This window comes from Homo sapiens, chromosome 12 (genome assembly GCF_000001405.40).
Source record: "Homo sapiens chromosome 12, GRCh38.p14 Primary Assembly".
Lineage (NCBI taxonomy): Eukaryota > Metazoa > Chordata > Mammalia > Primates > Hominidae > Homo > Homo sapiens.
In genome coordinates, this window is record NC_000012.12 from 98,908,069 (window position 1) to 98,925,024 (window position 16,956).

The following is a 16,956-nucleotide window of genomic DNA, read 5'->3' on the forward strand; positions in this document are numbered from 1 at the left end:
CTGCATGAGTCTTTCACCCATCTCTGACTCAAGTACCAAGCACATCCTGGCCTAGGGATTGTAATCTGTTGGGTAGTCACCTGTCTGCTGTGGGTTGGGAGTGGTGGGCCTGTAGGAAAGGGAGATTGACTTCCCTGTCCCTGGCCAGGCCTCACAGTTTCATTTTATACCAGGCCTTGCAAAATATATAGCCAGACCTGTAGTTGACATTTATTGTAATATCCATGCAAGCTGGATAGGACAAGAATGTTGCTACTGTTATGTCTGCTTCCATTATTTCTACTGCTGGGGAGGCTACCATTACCTTCTCTGTGACTTGCACTTGGGCAAGCACTTAACAATATATCATCCCATTTAATCTTCACAACCAATATACAAGGTAGGGTTTATACACTGGGGTGGTTCCCTAACTTCTCTGAGTTTTAGTTTCCTCATCTGGAAAACTGGTATCATAATGCCTACTTGGTAAGGATATTGTGAGAATTAAATAAGATGACATGTATATTAAGAGATGGAGGTAATTTTATCTACCTGCATTCCTCTAATTCTATATTTGTTAGGAAGAAATCTTTTGGTAAGCTGCTTGAGGAGAAGAGTCACCATGGACAGACTAAAATAACCCAATAAGCTTGCTTAACTTTTGCACTTATGACAAGGAGTAGTGTTTGTTCCTTGCCATTGTTCCCAAGAGGAAGGTGGCAAAGAAAGAGTTGGTGAGGGCGAAGCATTTGCAGGGGAAGAGAACAGGAGTGACAGTATGTCCTTTAGAAAGTGGAAATATTGAATGGGGTTCTAAACAAATTGTTTGGTTGGGTTTATGCTATAAACAGCCCAACCTACCCACCGTCATGAAATCTTCAGTAAAGGCTGTGTAGCTGACTAACGCTTTTGTGTGTGATTAGATAAATGCGGGAGAGGGGCTCAGTGTCTGTTCTCAAAGAGGCATTGAAATTCACATCCACGTTGGCACAAGTGAAAACAGACAGCTTGTGCCAGAAGATGAGTGCAGAGCTGGTGTGTGGTTCTAATACTATTCTTGGAATGCTTCCTCTGAGTGACCTCCCTCTCTGTTCAGGCCACGCATTTCTGGAGGGTATAACAGCAGTATATTGTTATATTGTATATATATGTATATTCTGTTTGGTTTCTATTCTTCCACAGGCCCCACCATCAGGTTCCGCACAGAGTGAACACTCAAATGTTGAGGGCTGATAAATGTGAGTAGCAACTACTAAATGAAGGAGATGAATATGCTTTTGTATAGTAACTTCAACGATGCTTTGATATAGAAATTAGTTTACCTAGTGTACTGATGAGGTACATGAGGCTCAGAGAGGCTAAGAAACTTGCCTGGCGTCACACAGCTAGTAAGCAGCAAAAACAGACATTCATGTTCCATACACAATGCCTTCCTGGTCAGTGACACTTTAGCAGACTATCTAGAGTTCTGGCATCGTATAAACCAGGCATTATCCACATATGTATATTTTAAAACCTCACTGAAAGCAGAAGGATAAGATGAATTGACTTTAAGCATTCCTGGGGAACAAAAAGTCAAAATGGAAAAGGAGAACAGGAGCATAAGAAAAAAATATATAGCATAACTCGTTATCCCTTAGATAACTGTAGGGTCATGCTGATATTAGTCATTGTACTGTGATGACACCAAAAAGGGAAAGTGTACCAGCTAGCCAGGTAGATGCAATTCATTGTGCAAGAAAAGGCTGCCTCAAATGTGTCTAAAAGCGTGGTTCTTCATTCAGCCAAGTCAAGACCAAAGGAGCACATGAATAATTGGCTACAGCTCCCCTTTCAGCAAGTACCAGCTTTCTCTGCTGAGGCTGATACAGCTCCATACCTCAGGGGGCCGGGAATCAGCTGCCAGCAGCCAATGGGCTTCTGAGCATTCATAAGCAGACCAGGTGCTGATCCATCAGGCTAATTAGCAGCCTGTGGGCCACAGTTAGCTGGGAAGGTGGAGGGTTTTAACTCTTTTCCTGACAGACTCCAAGCCTATCTGGGCTTTTTGAGCAATGTTCTATCAGTCAAACCACAAAGAAAAGTATTAGAATTCAAAAGGAGGGAAGCTAAAAGGAAATATAGTTTTGCTTTAAATAAGACAAGGGAGACTAACAACACAAAGGAAGTGAACTTTGACTCTCAAATATACATATATATAGATGTATATATGTGTCTGTACGCATCTCAGTCTACGTATCTTCATGTTACTGACTGTAATGTCATCACCACAGCAGACATTCAATACATGTTTGCTTTTGTTGAGGATGATATAGTGATATTTAAAACAGAAATAATAAACAAGGGAAGAAAATAGGACAGGATTGCAAGGGAGGGGGATATTTAGCTTGTTGGCACCTGAAATGTATTTAATTATCAGGCTCCCAAAAGAGCAGAGGAAACAGAATTAGCTTCAATGAAAAATACAGAGAACATGCTGAAAGTTCAGAAAAAATGCAAAACTTACTTTAATTAGGAGATGGAGATGGAATACATCAGAAATAGTGTCACTGCAAATTACCAGACTTATAAACCAATATGTAAATCAGCAGAGGAAACAATCCCATGAATTTTAGTAAATTTGTAGAAACTTGTTGTAAATAGTGCATTTAAAATTAGTTTTAATGTGAAATAGAATCAACAATCAATGAAGCCAACACCATCCAAATGTCTTCATTGACATAAAAGGAGCATTCTATAGTCAATTGGTTCTATATTTTTGACTTTAGTGTGGTTTTGTTGATCATGGATCCAATAATCTCCAGTGAAGCAGTGCCAATATATGATCTAGCGATAGGAAATAACAAACAAGCATCCTAATCCTTAAAGTAGCCAAATCTGACAATCATAGAAAATGGCAAGGCAGGATACTGGCAAAAGTCTTAAAACACAGAGGTAACATTTATGGAGATGTCTGCACGGGCTCTCTGTCAACATATGGAGAATTGAGGAAGAGCTACGGGATTTCAATGACAAGCCCATCACCACCATCTGGAGATAAAAATTCTGTGGTAGATTTTTTTTTTAAACTGTGATATTTTACTGATAAATTTTATATTAGTGACAAGATCCTAACCAAAGTTTCCTTGGACTGCTTACTATAAAACTGTGTACTATTGACTCTGGGGTTAAAAAAATGGATTTATGCCTCACTGAGAAACAGCTGTCATTGCATTTGTAGAATCATAGTGTCAAGATGATGAAACTGAGCTAATTCCAGAGTCTTCAGGGACCTAAAGAAAGCATTATACAGCCCTGAGGAGGTTTGGGTGTACTGGCAGTAATGTCAACTGTATGGCCCTGAGAAACTAATCTCCATGTTGAGATTATGAACACAAATCTTTCCCCAAATATTTACTGAGTAAAAACATAGTGAGTGGTCCATTAGGGAGAGCAGGAGCATGAGTTGGATTGTTTTTGTTCTAAGAAATGAATGCACTACCTTGGACTATAATCAATTTGGGGATTGTGGTCTTTTAAACAGACCATAGCAGATGATTCAGTGTCAGTGGGCCACTGGATTCATGCCAAGTGATAATTCTCCATAACGCTTCCTACAGTCTGGTGTGTGCAAAACAGGCAAGGTCACAAGTCTGTTCTACAGCCACCGGGTGTGCTGGTCCTTTTATTGTCCTGGCAAAGTAACAACCCTGTGTATGCACCCCTACAAACTATCTCCCCATGGTTTGGTCAGAGCTGACCCCCAAGCTCACCCTGCCTAAGTCATTTATTACTAGCAGAGGAAGAAATAAGCATATAATCATGACCTTATCTACTTCTCTAGCCTCAAATCTAGTCTCTCCTCAATCAAACCCTTTCCTATCCCTCAGGGACACCTTGACTGGGTGCCTTTGCCTGTGGGACTCTCTGCCCTTAGCATCTTTCAATTAGTTCTCTGCCTGGAAGGCTGTTCTTCTTTCATGTGTTACCTCCTCCTGAAATGGTTTCTTGATAATAACAGCAAACACATAGGATTTGCTTCATACCAGGCGCACTTCTAAATGCTTTATTAAATGTACTTACTTCTCACCAGAACCCTTTGAAATAGGTACTGTTATAGTCTCTACTTTAGATATAAAGAAACTTAAAGGCAGAGTTGTTAAGAAATTTACTCAGGGTCACTGGTAAATGGTAGAGCTGAGGTTATGAACCATGGCAGCCTGGCTCCAGAGTGTCTGTTCTTCATCACGACTCTGAGCATAATGATCCCTAGACTTTGCTGTTAGTATCCTGAGCACTCGCTACCAGAGAAGTAGCTGCACTGCACTCTAGTCATGTTTGTAAGCTTCCTCTCTTTCCATGCTAACTCCAGTTAATCCAACAACACTCAGCCAAAGCATCAACTTTTTCCCCCTTAAGTCTTCCTGATCCTGCTCCCCTAACCTGTGGGAGGTGAATCCTCCACTGCCCACACCATGCTTCTCTCTGCTAGACTCCTTATCACACCACGTGTCTTGTTTACCTGTCTGCCTCCCTCATTAATCTGTGAACTCTGAAGTTTTGAAGGCACGAATGGTCTCAGTAACACAGTATCTGGCATATAGAACTGTTGCTTAATAAATATTTGTCTGTTTGATGGATGGAGACTGGTGCTAACAAGTCTTCATTTTGCAACTCTGGTTTCTAGCTTTTACCGGCAGATTAAGAACAAAAGGGATTCCATCACAAATCCTGGGAGAATCATGACAAATGCTTAGCTTCAGTTCAGAAAGAAGCAAGACTATTTATAGCTCAGGGACTCAACATTAAATGACCCGGACTTAATTTTTCCTTGTGACCTAGATTTGCACAACTTTAGATGGAAAGTGCCCTTGGAGATCATTTTACCCAGGTATTGCAAACTGGTGGCCTAGAGTTGTTTTTATTTGACATATATTATTTGTTTCTATTTTTATTAGAATACCTTTAGACAGGACATGTGCTTTTTATTTCTCCACATTTTACATCATATCCTATCATACACCACTTTACTCATTTGTATTATCCACCTGACCATTCAAAGCATTTGAATATGAAATGTCTGAATTAGTCTAACTCATTTTTTTTGGTCTTTGTTTACAGTAAAGCTCCCAAGTCTGTACTTAGGGTCTCCAATTTTCTCATTAATTCATTCCAGTCAGATGTTCTCCCACCCTCTACTGATGTGTAGACTGATTTCCATGTAACAATGTACCAATCATGTACCAGTGATTTCCACCTAGCTAAATCCAGTTCCTAGCTTGGACCTCAACCCCTCCTCCTTGACATTCAGGACCATACTCTCCTGGTTTTCCTCCTACTTCTCTGGCCTCCCCTTCTCTGTCTTCTTGCTGATTCCTCCTCATACTCTCGACCTCTAAATGTTGGATCCTCCAAGGTGCAGCTCGTGGCCTGCTTCTCTTCTGGATCTACTCTCATCCCCTTGGGGATCTTGTACAGGCTCATGAGTTTAAACACTGCCCACATGTTGACACTTCCTCAGTGTACATCTCCAGCTCACTTGGTTGTCTAGTGGGCCTGTCAAACTTAATATGTCTAAAAACAAACTGCCAATTTCTTCATATTTTTTTTGTTGTTGTTGAGATGGAGTCTTGCTCTGTTGCCCAGGCTGGAGTGCAGTGGTGCAATCTCAGCTCACTACAACTTCCACCTCCTGGGTTAAAGTGATTCTCCTGCCTCAGCCTCCCGAGTAGCTACGATGACAGACGCGTGCCACTACCACACCCATCTAATTTTTGTATTTTTAGTAGAGACAAGGTTTTGCCATGTTGGCCAGGCTGGTCTTGAACTCTTGACCTCAGGTGATTTGCCCGCCTTGGCCTCCCACAAACTGTCAATTTCTACCCCAAACCTGCTCTTCTTAGCAGTTTTCTTTATGTCAGTTAGGGGTATATCCGGGCCACCAGTTGCTCAGGCCAAAATCCATGGGCTTATCTCTCATTGCTTCCTTTCTATGTGATATGGTTTGGATATTTTTCCTCTTCAAATATCACGCTGAATTGTAATCCCCGGTGTTGGAGGTGGAATCTGGTGGGAGGTGTTTGGATCATGGCGGCGGATCCCTTATAGACGGCTTAGCTCTATCCTCTTGGTGATGAGTGAGCCATGAGATCTGGTTGATTAAAAGTATGGTACCTCCCCACTCTCTCTTGATCCTATTACTATGTGACATGCTGGCTCCTTGTCACCTTTTCAGCCATGATTGTAAGCTTCCTGAGGCCTCAGGAGAAGCACATGCCAGCACCATTCTTCCTATAAAGCCTGCTGAACCATGAGCCAGACAAACCTCTTTTCTTTATAAATTACCCAGCCTCAGGCATTTCTTTATAGCAACACAAGAACAGTCTAACACACTTTCATATGCCATATACAAGTCCTCAGCAGTCATGTCTACTCCAATCTTCCAGTGCCTCCCTTGTTCTTTAAGAGTAAAAGCCAAAGAAAGTCCTTAGAGTGGTCTCTAGGAGCCTTGATATTCTACCTTCCTTCCTTATTCCTATCCCTACCTTTATTTCTCAGACCCCCATTCCCACCACTATCCCCCTTATTGACCTGCCTCCAGCTCACTGGCCTCCCTTCACTGTTGAGTGAACACTCCAGGCATTTTTCTACATCGGGGTGTTTGCATTTGCTGTTCCTTCTGCCTGGAATACCCCCACCCTTCCCTTCCCCATCCCCAGGTATCTGCATGTATCTGCATGGGTTGCTTCCTCATTTCCTTCATGACTACTCAAATGAACCTCCTCACTGAAGCTTTCCTTGACCACTCTATTTGAAATAGACTTCCCTAAGCCAGGATGATTTTTCATCCCTCCTTTCTGCTTTTCTCTAGAGCACTTTATTACCCTCTAATATCCTATATATTTTACTTACCTATTTTGTTTCTCTTCCTACTAGAATGTAAGCTAAATGAGGGCAGGCTTGTTTGTCTTCTTTGTTTACTGCTACATCCTCAGCATCAGAATAAGGCTGAGAACTTGTTATGGGTTGAATTATGTTCCCCCCACCACCCCCAGTAAGTCCCAGTGACCTTATTTGGGAACGAGGTCATTACAGATGTAATTAGTTAAGATGAGGTCACACTGGAGCAGGCTGGACCCCTAATCCAATATGACTAGCGTCCTTCTAGAAAGAATGGCATGTGAAGAGAAGGAGATATCCATAGAGGGAAGATGATGTGAAGATGTACAGGGAGAAGATGGCCATCTACAAGCCAAGGAGAGAGATCTGGAGCAGATCTTTCAGACTTGATTTCAGACTTCTAAGACTTCTAGCCTCCAGAACTGTGAGACAGAATTTTTTTTTAGACAGAGTCTCACTCTGTTGCCCAGGCAGGAGTACAGTGGTGTGATCTCAGCTTACTGCAACCTCCGCCTCCCAGGTTCAAGCGATCCTCCTGCCTCAGTGCCCTGAGTAGCTGGGACTACAGGCATGTATCATCACACCCAGCTAATTTTTTGCATATTTAGTAGGGACGGGCTTTCACCATGCTGGCCAGGCTGATCTCGAACTCCTGATCTCAAGTGATCCACCTGCCTTGGCCTCTCATAGTGCTGGGATTACAGGCATGAGCCATCGTGCCTGGCCAAGACAATACATTTCTATTGTTTGGACCAACCTGGGTGTGTTACTTTATCACTACAGCCCTAGCAAACTAATACTCAAAAAAATTCTCAAGAAAAATGTATGGGTGAATAAACAAGTGAATTAATCCTTTCAATGAAGAAACTGAAGGCCAGTGAAGTTGATTAACTTGCCAGAAACACACCATGGTGAACGGGCAGAACCAAGACTCAAATCCAGCTTTCCTGCCGCCCCATCTAGCTCTCAGCCACCACATCTGGATGCCACGTCAGTCTGTCTCATGAGCACTAACAATGGTGGGCTGAGGTTGAGGGGGATCTCCGGAGCCCCTTCACCATCTCCTAGGTCTTGCCTATCCTGCCTTCCTGCTTAACGCTCCCACCACCATCACATAACCTGGATATGTTGTGGCCAGACAATTATTGACGTATGTTTGTTAAGTGTTCTGATCTCCTCTCAGAGGAAAACCCTGTGTTTGACTCTTCTATTATTCAGGAAGTAATAAAAGTTATAGTCATAATATATAAGAAAAAAGAATGATTCACTGCTGAGCTACTGAGCTACAGGGAGCAATCCAAGGTTTAGAACAGACAATTGGCTAAGATCAGTCACGATGATGTCACAGCGGAATATACAAATACCTCAGTGGGCTGATCCAAGAGAACATCACAATTAAATCAGCTTACTGCTGAGCACTCTTCCACATCTGTGAAGAGCTGCTCTCCATTCTGACAGCCACGTTTAAGGAGGTGGTGGAGGCGGCAGTCTATCCAACACCCTCCACACAGGAAGAAAGGATTGCAAAGTGCTACTGAGTAAATGAACATCATTCACATGGAAATGCACTGGACGAGATCATACATGTTAAGACAGTTAACAGACAGGTTAGGAACAATGTTTTCTTTTCAGAATGGAATTACAGTATGACATTGGGCATGGGAAACTGATGAGAGCCATCAGAGATGATATTCAAAATGTTTAACAAAATATCGACAGCATAAGCCATCAATGGCCAATGCAGCCTTATCAATGCAGAGTGGTTGAACATGGTGCTGGTGAAACTCACTTGGCTAGAATAGCAGAGATGCCATTAACCTCTCTGACCCTTAGTTTAGTTTCTTCATTGCAGAGTGAGGCACCACCACTTATTTCCTAGTGTTGTTACAAAGGTTAAGAAAAAAATCTGTGCCACAATTCCTGGTACATATCAGATCCCCAATAATAAGAGCAAACATTTATGTGTCTTTATTATATATAAGGTATTAGCAAATGCTAATTTACTTAACCCTTATAGCAGCCCTAGTATTCAACTATTTTTTTTTTTTTTTTGAGACAGGATCTCACTCTGTCACCCTGGCTGGAGTGCAGTGGCACAATCACAGCTCACTGCAGCCTCCACCTCCCGGGCTCAAGTGGTCCTCCTGTCTCAGCTTCCTAAGTAGCTGGTGCTACAGATGTATACCACCATGCCCAGTTAATTTTTAAATTTTTCGTAGAGACAGGGTCTCACTATGCCACCCAGGCTGGTCAAGAACTCCTGGGCTCAAGCAATTATTATTAGCATTTTCCCGTTGGAGAAATTGATATAGAGAGCGGTTAAGCAACTTTCTCAATGTCACACTGCTGGTGAATGGCAAGACAGGGTCTTAGGACCCAGGTAGAATGAATCCCAGGGGCTCCTTCCCCACCCTATGCTACCCTCAGGAAATGTCGGGGCCCATCCCTCCCACTTTATGCTCCAGAGAGCCAGTGTCCCTGCAAACCTAACATCTCATTGCCTCAAAGTCCCAGCTAAAGCCTAGTGGAGAGGACATCACTCTTTGGTCCTTCAGTGCCCTAGCCCTTCTTTCTAGGTTTACTCAATTTCCATTTGCATGAAGACAGACAAGAAAAACAGTCCAATTAATACGAAGCGTAAGACCACAAGATGAGAAGGCTTTTGCTTTGCTTTTTATTTTGTATCAGCTGAAGTGCTGTGAGTATTCGGGATGAAAAATTATTTATCCCAGTTAATGAATCTCATGATAATAAAAATGCCTGACAGCTCTGAGATTAGTGAGTAGCCCTTATCTGGGGACCACTTAGTGAAGCAAATCCTGCGTGAACAAAGGACAAATGGGATTTGGGAGAATGAGGAGGAAGGGAGGCTAAGAACGAACATGTGTTTTGCAGCTATCTCATGCCAGGCATCACACAAGGTACTCAACCCTCATTCTTTCTTTTAATTCTTTTGAGAACTCAGTCTTTATACAAACACTTATGGCAGTGCCAGGTACCATAATAAGTGTTGGGGTTACAAAATTAAATAAATCATGGCCCCTGTCCTTTTAAGTAGAATGGATACAGAAAATAAGTAGAGAGGCTATTTATGTTCACTGCAATATTAGTTTGATATGAGTATACACAGGCAGTGGAACTATGCTATACAGGCCAAGATGATACCTACCATGTCAATAGTTCCTGCATAAGGACTATTTCCTGCATACGCAGCTGTGTTCTGGGCTGGGTGATATACCCCTGCACCTCCCCATGGCCCCTCAGGCCCTTCACGGAGGTTAGTTGGCTAGAGGAGTGAGATTCTCTTAGGAGTTTACACTTGGAAGCAGAAAGAGAATCAGGCAATTGGTTGTGGGAACAGAAACTGAGAAGATGATCTAAAAGGAGTGATGAAGTACAGTAGAATGGGGCTGGGTGGGACCATGTGTAAGCGGAAGCTATGAATACACAGAAGATACAAGGCACAGAAAACGCTGAGCAGAATGTGAGGAAGCTAGGTCGTAGCAGGAAATGAATAGAAGCAGAGGATACTCTAACCAACGTATGCCCCACAATTTAATCCTTTCCCTAATGTTAGATCATTCTCATTTTTTCCTGTATTACAAGGAATCCTATGATGAATATCATTGCACATCAGTATTTGTAGCATTTCTGATGAGTTTCTCTAATATATTCTTGGATTAAATGGTATGCACATTTTAATGCTCTTGAGACAAGTATGCATCTTTATTTCCAGGAAGATAGCACTAATTTCCCACGCCCTTCAGTATTATATGAGTGAGTCTACTTTAACACATTGTCTCACACTGAGTCCTTGTCACTTAAACAGGGAACGGTAGTAACTACCTTTTTAATTGTTTAATTATTTAATTTTTAATTGTTTGCATATTTTTCATATGTTATGGGACATTTGTATTTCCTCTTTTGTGACTCCAGCTTGTTTATGTCTTTTTGTCCATTTGCCTATAAGGCCATTTATAATGCTCTTATTGATGTATGAGAAATCAATAAAATTTATATAACAAGACCAATACTCACTGACATATTTAGCAAACACTTACCCATAATTAGTTGTTTTCCTTTTCATTTTTATTTGAGGCACGGAAGTTTTATATTTTTCAATATATTGATATTTTCCTTTGTAATTTGTTTCAAAGGGTTTCTTTTTGCGGAAAAAAATCTTTTTCTGTTTTCTAGATCAGGAAAATACTTGGCTCTGTTTCTTTTCCTACTTTTGGAAAATGTTTTTGCTTTTATATTTAACTTTTCTGTTCACTTACAATTTATTTTGGTGTATTTGAACCTTTATGAAGGAAGATTTTGTACTAAATTAAAAAAGAGGATGGTGTGATCCTGTTTCAGAAAAATCTAATCTGTGTTAATGTTTGTTCCCCAGCAGAATCAACCATGGATTACTTCCAATGACCAGTGCAATGACTTGAGCACACACAGACCCATTTAAATACATAATGAGGGAGAACATATGATCAAGGGCGGAGATGCCATCATTTGTGCTCTGTATACAACCTACTTTTATTAAATGGAAATTATGGTCACTGAATAACTCAATCTACCTAAACTCTTACAAGGAATCAGAAGCCCTCAGTTCTTAAGCTGGGTCTGTACTGATTTACAATGGGACACAAACACACTGTACCTCCTTAACCCTAACACCCACTTTCCAATTGCCTGTCTTTCAAAACTATCTAATTAGATTTCTTTAAAAAGAACATTTTTGTCATTTGTGAGGAATTTTTCTTTTCTTTTTTAGTTTGCTCTTACTGAAAAACCAAGGCAACTTCAACTTTATCTTTTCATAGGGTCCCTTTCCAAGTGTTATGACTGAATGGAAGCTGTGTGGTTGGTGAAGTACTTCGGCTATATTTCCAAAAATATGCAATTGTTAGGGGCTGCAATGCAACAGCCAGTTCCAGAGACTAGCAAAAGGCAGGGGGATACTCTCAAGAGTGACTACACTCGAGACTTTCCATTTCAGCAACTTCAGGAATTGGGGAAAACTCACTAATTCAACACTGAGTTCTCTGAAAGTGATGGTGTATTAGTTTGCTAGGTCTACCATAACAAAGTACAGCAAATTGGGTGGCTTAAACAACAGACATTTGTTTTCTCAGAACTCTGGAGGCCAGATATTCAAGATGGCAGCACTGGGGAGAAAATCTAGCTTCTGGTGGTTTGCAGGCAATCTTTGACATTTCTTTGCTTGCAGAAACATGACCACAATATCTGTCTTACTCTTCACATGGCATTCTCTGTAAAGCCACACTATTTGCTTAGATTGTTTGAAGAAGGCACTTTCAGATGTGTTCCAGAGGCTGGGCACCTTGATCTGGATCAAACGCTGCCAATTGTTGGTTGAAGGTGAGTGTAGAAATGTATCTACTTCCAAAGCCAAAATATTACTGTATTAGTCCGTTTTCATGCTGCTGATAAAGACATACCTGAGACTGGGTAATTTATACAGGAAAAAGGGTTTAACGGACTTACAGTTCCACGTGGCTGGGAGGCCTCACAATCATGGTGGAAGGAAAGGAGGAGCAAGTCACATCTTATGTGGATAGCAGCAGGCAAAGAGAGAGCTTGTGCAGGAAAACTCCACCTTATAAAGCCATCAGATCTTGTGACATTTATTCACTATCACGAGAACAGCACGGGAAGGACCTGCACCCATGATTCAGTTACCTCCCACCTGGTCCCTCCCACAACATGTGGGAATTCAAGATGAGATTTGGGTGGGGACACAGCCAAACCATATCAATTACTAAGTACACAGAAAAATTTATAAGTCTTGGTCCATGTACCTCATCAACTTCTTCTAGCAAGAAGCAGCTGGCTGACTTGCAATGAAATCTCCTTAGAGTTTTATCTTTAAATCATTGATCTCAATGGATATCTTATACCTGAAAATTTGCTGTTTTACTAAGGGTGAAGTAAATTAAATTCCACAAGAGTTAGAAAATAATTTAATCAGCTGGCAAAAGCTAAGGATGAAAGCAAGTTAATACAAATTTCAATTTTCAAACAAGATTCAATACATGTATATAATTTATTTGGCTAGATTCAATACATGTATATAATTTATTTGGCTATTACAGGGAGAGAAAACATAATTACTAGGTCTTATTAAAAGTATGTCTTTCTTCTTTTCCCTGTCATCCTTTCTTCCCTTTCTTCTTTCATTTTTAAATTCCCTTCCCCTCTTCCTCATTCCTTCCTCCTTTCTTTTCTTCTTCCCTCCCTTGATGTTTTCCATTTACTCAGAAAACATTTAGGGAGCAATTACCACAAGTTAGAGTATACACCATATGCCAAGGATGCACCCAAAATGTACAGGTGATAAAGCAGCAGTTCCTGCCCTCAGCAAGTTCATAGCCTAATAGAATCTGAGTTATGTAAGGGTGAAGGCCCTACAGTACATTCTCTATAATATTGTAGTAAGAGGAATAATCTCAGATCTCATGCATGCATTCCATGATTTTTCTCTTTACTTTTGCCACTGTTTTTCTACCTGATATTAATCTTAATACTATAATCTTATACTACTCCTTCAAGCAGCTCCGTGTGTTTTCTATAGGCCCACCAATTATTGCCATGTTCTAATAAGGTTTTAAAGAAAATATGTGACCCTTTAGAACATCACCCCACTTCCATGCCTGTCTTCCATCCTCTGTATAAAGAGCAGAGGGTGTGAAGAATGGACTAGAAGGGTTCCTGGGTGGCTCATTGTTGTGATCTGTTTGCCTGCTTTGGCATGCTTTGATTATAATAAATATCTTCTCTGAGGGGAGCATTTTGAGGAAAGTGATTGTAAAAGAAGATGGAAATCCATCTATAAAGATGGTAACCACAGGAACTAATTTGAAGAGGTTTTTCATATTTATTAATAGCATAGAATTGTCCTTCCAGAAAGCATAAAGTTCTAAATTTGAACAAAGTCCACAGTCTGAACCAAAATTCTGTACCTTTCAGAATGGATCATAAAAGAAAAAAAGTCTACAGCACAAAAATAGTTTCCTCCTATAACCTCAAACAAATGTGAGGGCGATCTGCCCTTGCAATTTTCATTACTTCAAGATAACAACAAGGAAACTATGATTCAGTTAGTTCTTTCCTTTCACACATTCAGAGTTACTCTGCAATTGCTGAGTGCTAGTGTATCTATCCTCAAGTGGCATTTCTGTTTGAGAACTGTATTTTTCATTATTTAGAGTTTTCTGTAATTTTTACTGGTAATATTAATATTTAACAATATCATACCCCCAGAGGTATCTTTGTGCAACTTTAGAATATACGTACTTTGTTTCTTTTTATGACTCTAACCTTTTATTCTTTCATTCCTCTAGTACTCTGAATATAAGAGAGTCTACACGCTTTTTAGTGAGGATTTTTTGATCCCTGCTTCATAAGTGTCACTCATTGTAGGCTTTCCTTTGACAACAAAAATTCCTGCTCTCTTTACGTTGACTCTAATTACTTCACCAGAAAAGGTAAACCTGTCATTGTGTAAGAAAAGGAATTAAGTTAATGTAACTGTTTCTTAAGGTCTTATTATTATTTTATTTTTATTTTTTTGAGACAGAGTCTTGCTGTGTGGCCCAGGCTGGAGTGCAGTGGCACAATCTCGGCTCACTGCAACCTCTGCCTCCTGGGTTCAAGCGATTCTCCTGCCTCAGCCTCCCGAGTAGCTGGAATTATAGGCATGCACCACCACGCCTGGCTAATTTTTCTATTTTTAGTAGAGATGGGGTTTCACCATGTTGGCCAGGCTGGTCTTGAACTCCCGACCTCAGGCGATCCACCCACCTCAGCCTCCCAAAGTGCTGGGATGACAGGCATGAGCCACTGTGCCTGGCTCTTAAGGGCTTAATGTGAATGTTGCATACACATGTAATTTCTGATTCATTTGTGGACCTTTGCGTAAAAATAAAATTTTCTTAGAAATTCATAGAAAAACATGGCAGTTCTTACCATGCATCACAGTCAATTTCCTGAGGGTTCTGTTCTTTGGAGTCTGGGGAGGGGAGGTGCTGTGGTTTGGATGTGTTTTTTTCCCACCAAAGCCCATGGTGAAATTCAATCCTCAGTGTGGCAGTGTGGGGAGATAGGGCCTAGTGAGAGGTGTCTGGGTCATAGAGGTATATCCCTCATGAATAGATTAATGCCTTCCTGCTAGGGTGAGTGAGTTCTAGCTCTCAGGGGAATGGGTTAGTTCCCTTGAAAGTGAGAATGGGTTGTTAAAAGGAGTCTGGCTTCCTTGGTTTTGCTCTTTTGCTTCCTTTCTCAGCCTGTGATCTCTGCACACTTTGGCTCTCTGTCACTTTCCACCATCAGTAGAAGCAGCATGAGGCCCTCACCAGACACAGCTGCCTAAGCTTGGGGTTTCCAGGATCATGAGCCAAATAAACCTCTTTTCTTTATAAACTACCCGTCTCAGGTAGTCTGTTCTAGCAACATAAAACAGACTAAGACAGAGGTCTTCAATACCAAAAGATAGTCTACTTGATGTGTGAAGGGAGGCTTTGGTTTGCCTGCTATAAAATAATTTTAGTTGATGAACCCGAAGTTCCCTGAAGGTTTAGTTTCTGGTGACTTTCATTCTGCAATTCTTGCACAAATGGAAAAAAATCCATCCTAGTTGAATGGAGTACCTACACTACAAATGTAGAGTGAATCTGTAGAAACCACTTTTTAGATAACTGATAAACCAGCTAGTTGCTAATCACTTCATTGCTGCTTCCCACCACCAGTCAATGTTTAAAAAAAATAAAGAATTCTCCACCTAACTTTGACAACTGGGGAAAGGTAGGACTTTGTTTCAGCATCAAAAGGAAGTAGAGCCACGTAGAATTATCATTTAGTTCCCTCAGTCATAGCCATTTCTCATTTTTCATCTTCCCTACTTTTCTCAGGGCCATTTATTGTCCTCTAATGCCTCCCTTCTCTTCATTCTTTTTTGCTCTTAATATCTCTGGAGGGACACCAAAGAAGTGATTTCTTTCTGCATTCATTAAAAATAGGTTTATGTTTTGCCTTCCTGTTCAATTCCCACTTGGGCTGTAAGCAAGTAACTAAAGCAAGGGAAGGGTTGGGCATGTGGGCGCCAGACTTAGATGCCTCTATTTATGCCTAGATTCTTCCTATTTCTCCCATTCTTCCCTCAGGATAGGAGAAAAAGGAGGTGGCAGAGGTCTGATTAAAGCAGGGATGAGCAACTGAGCCACCACTGCAGTGCTGAGATTGGGTGAAGCCCCCAGCTTCACAGAAAGGCCTGCAACATCATTGCAAGATTAAATGTGCCAATATTCTTGCTAAGTTACTACTTTTTGCACATTACCAGAGAATAGACTTCCCGGGCCTAAAGGAATGGCAATGTTTTCATTGTCATTTATTTCTCTGTTCAGTAAGGTAGATAGTACAGGTTTTAAGAGTCTTCTTTTTTTTCCTCATGAGACTCTATTTCTTTTCCCCTCTATTTTCTTCTATGCTAAATGGCTGTATCTACTCTTGAAAATACATTCTAACTCTAAGTGTCCTTTGTGGATTTGACTTTAGGAAACCAAAGTAGCTTCCCCCAAGCCACCCTCTGTCTCTCTTTTTTGTTTTTTTGCCCATTGGTCGATTTTACCTTCTTTTTGTATACCATCAACCCAAAGACACAGCATACTAGGGACGTAAGTGTGGAACTGATACCGTTAGTTTTATTTCGGGGTGATGCAATCCCTCTGCTAATTCTTAGATGGTCTTATGGTGTCAGAAGAAAATTTCCTTCTGTCAGAAAGCCTTAAGTACGTTTGGAAAATAATTCAGAATCAAGGCTGTCTTCTTCTGTTTTTTAATCAATTCACTAAATAGTCTTCATCATACAGAGAAATTATTCCTTCTACTCCACTCCAAACTAAGACATTATTTTGAAATAGATTATCAAATAATAGTGCAGACTAATTTCCATAGCTCAATGAGTAGAAGGCAAAGTACATTATTTGCTAATGCAAATGCTGAGCCTTCTCCAAAAAATTTAATATTCAAAGTCCAGACGGGATAAGGAGACAAAAAAAGATTGCTTAACAATTTTCCAAACCA

General features: G+C 40.8%; 1 protein-coding gene across 50 annotated transcripts in view, besides 1 other annotated feature; it reads right to left on the reverse strand.

Annotated features, from left to right (window-relative positions):
• Nucleotides 1-16,956, reverse strand: part of ANKS1B (ankyrin repeat and sterile alpha motif domain containing 1B) — a 1,250,151-nt gene that overhangs the window by 173,283 nt on the left and 1,059,912 nt on the right. The gene's annotated exons all lie outside the window — the stretch shown is intronic.
• Nucleotides 1,639-2,187: an enhancer, noted in NCBI's record as "OCT4-NANOG hESC enhancer chr12:99303485-99304033 (GRCh37/hg19 assembly coordinates)". NCBI's record gives its function as "activates a minimal SCP1, AML or CMV promoter by ChIP-STARR-seq in naive H9 embryonic stem cells {active_cell/tissue: H9 hESC(naive)}" and the evidence as "EXISTENCE:reporter gene assay evidence [ECO:0000049][PMID:30033119]".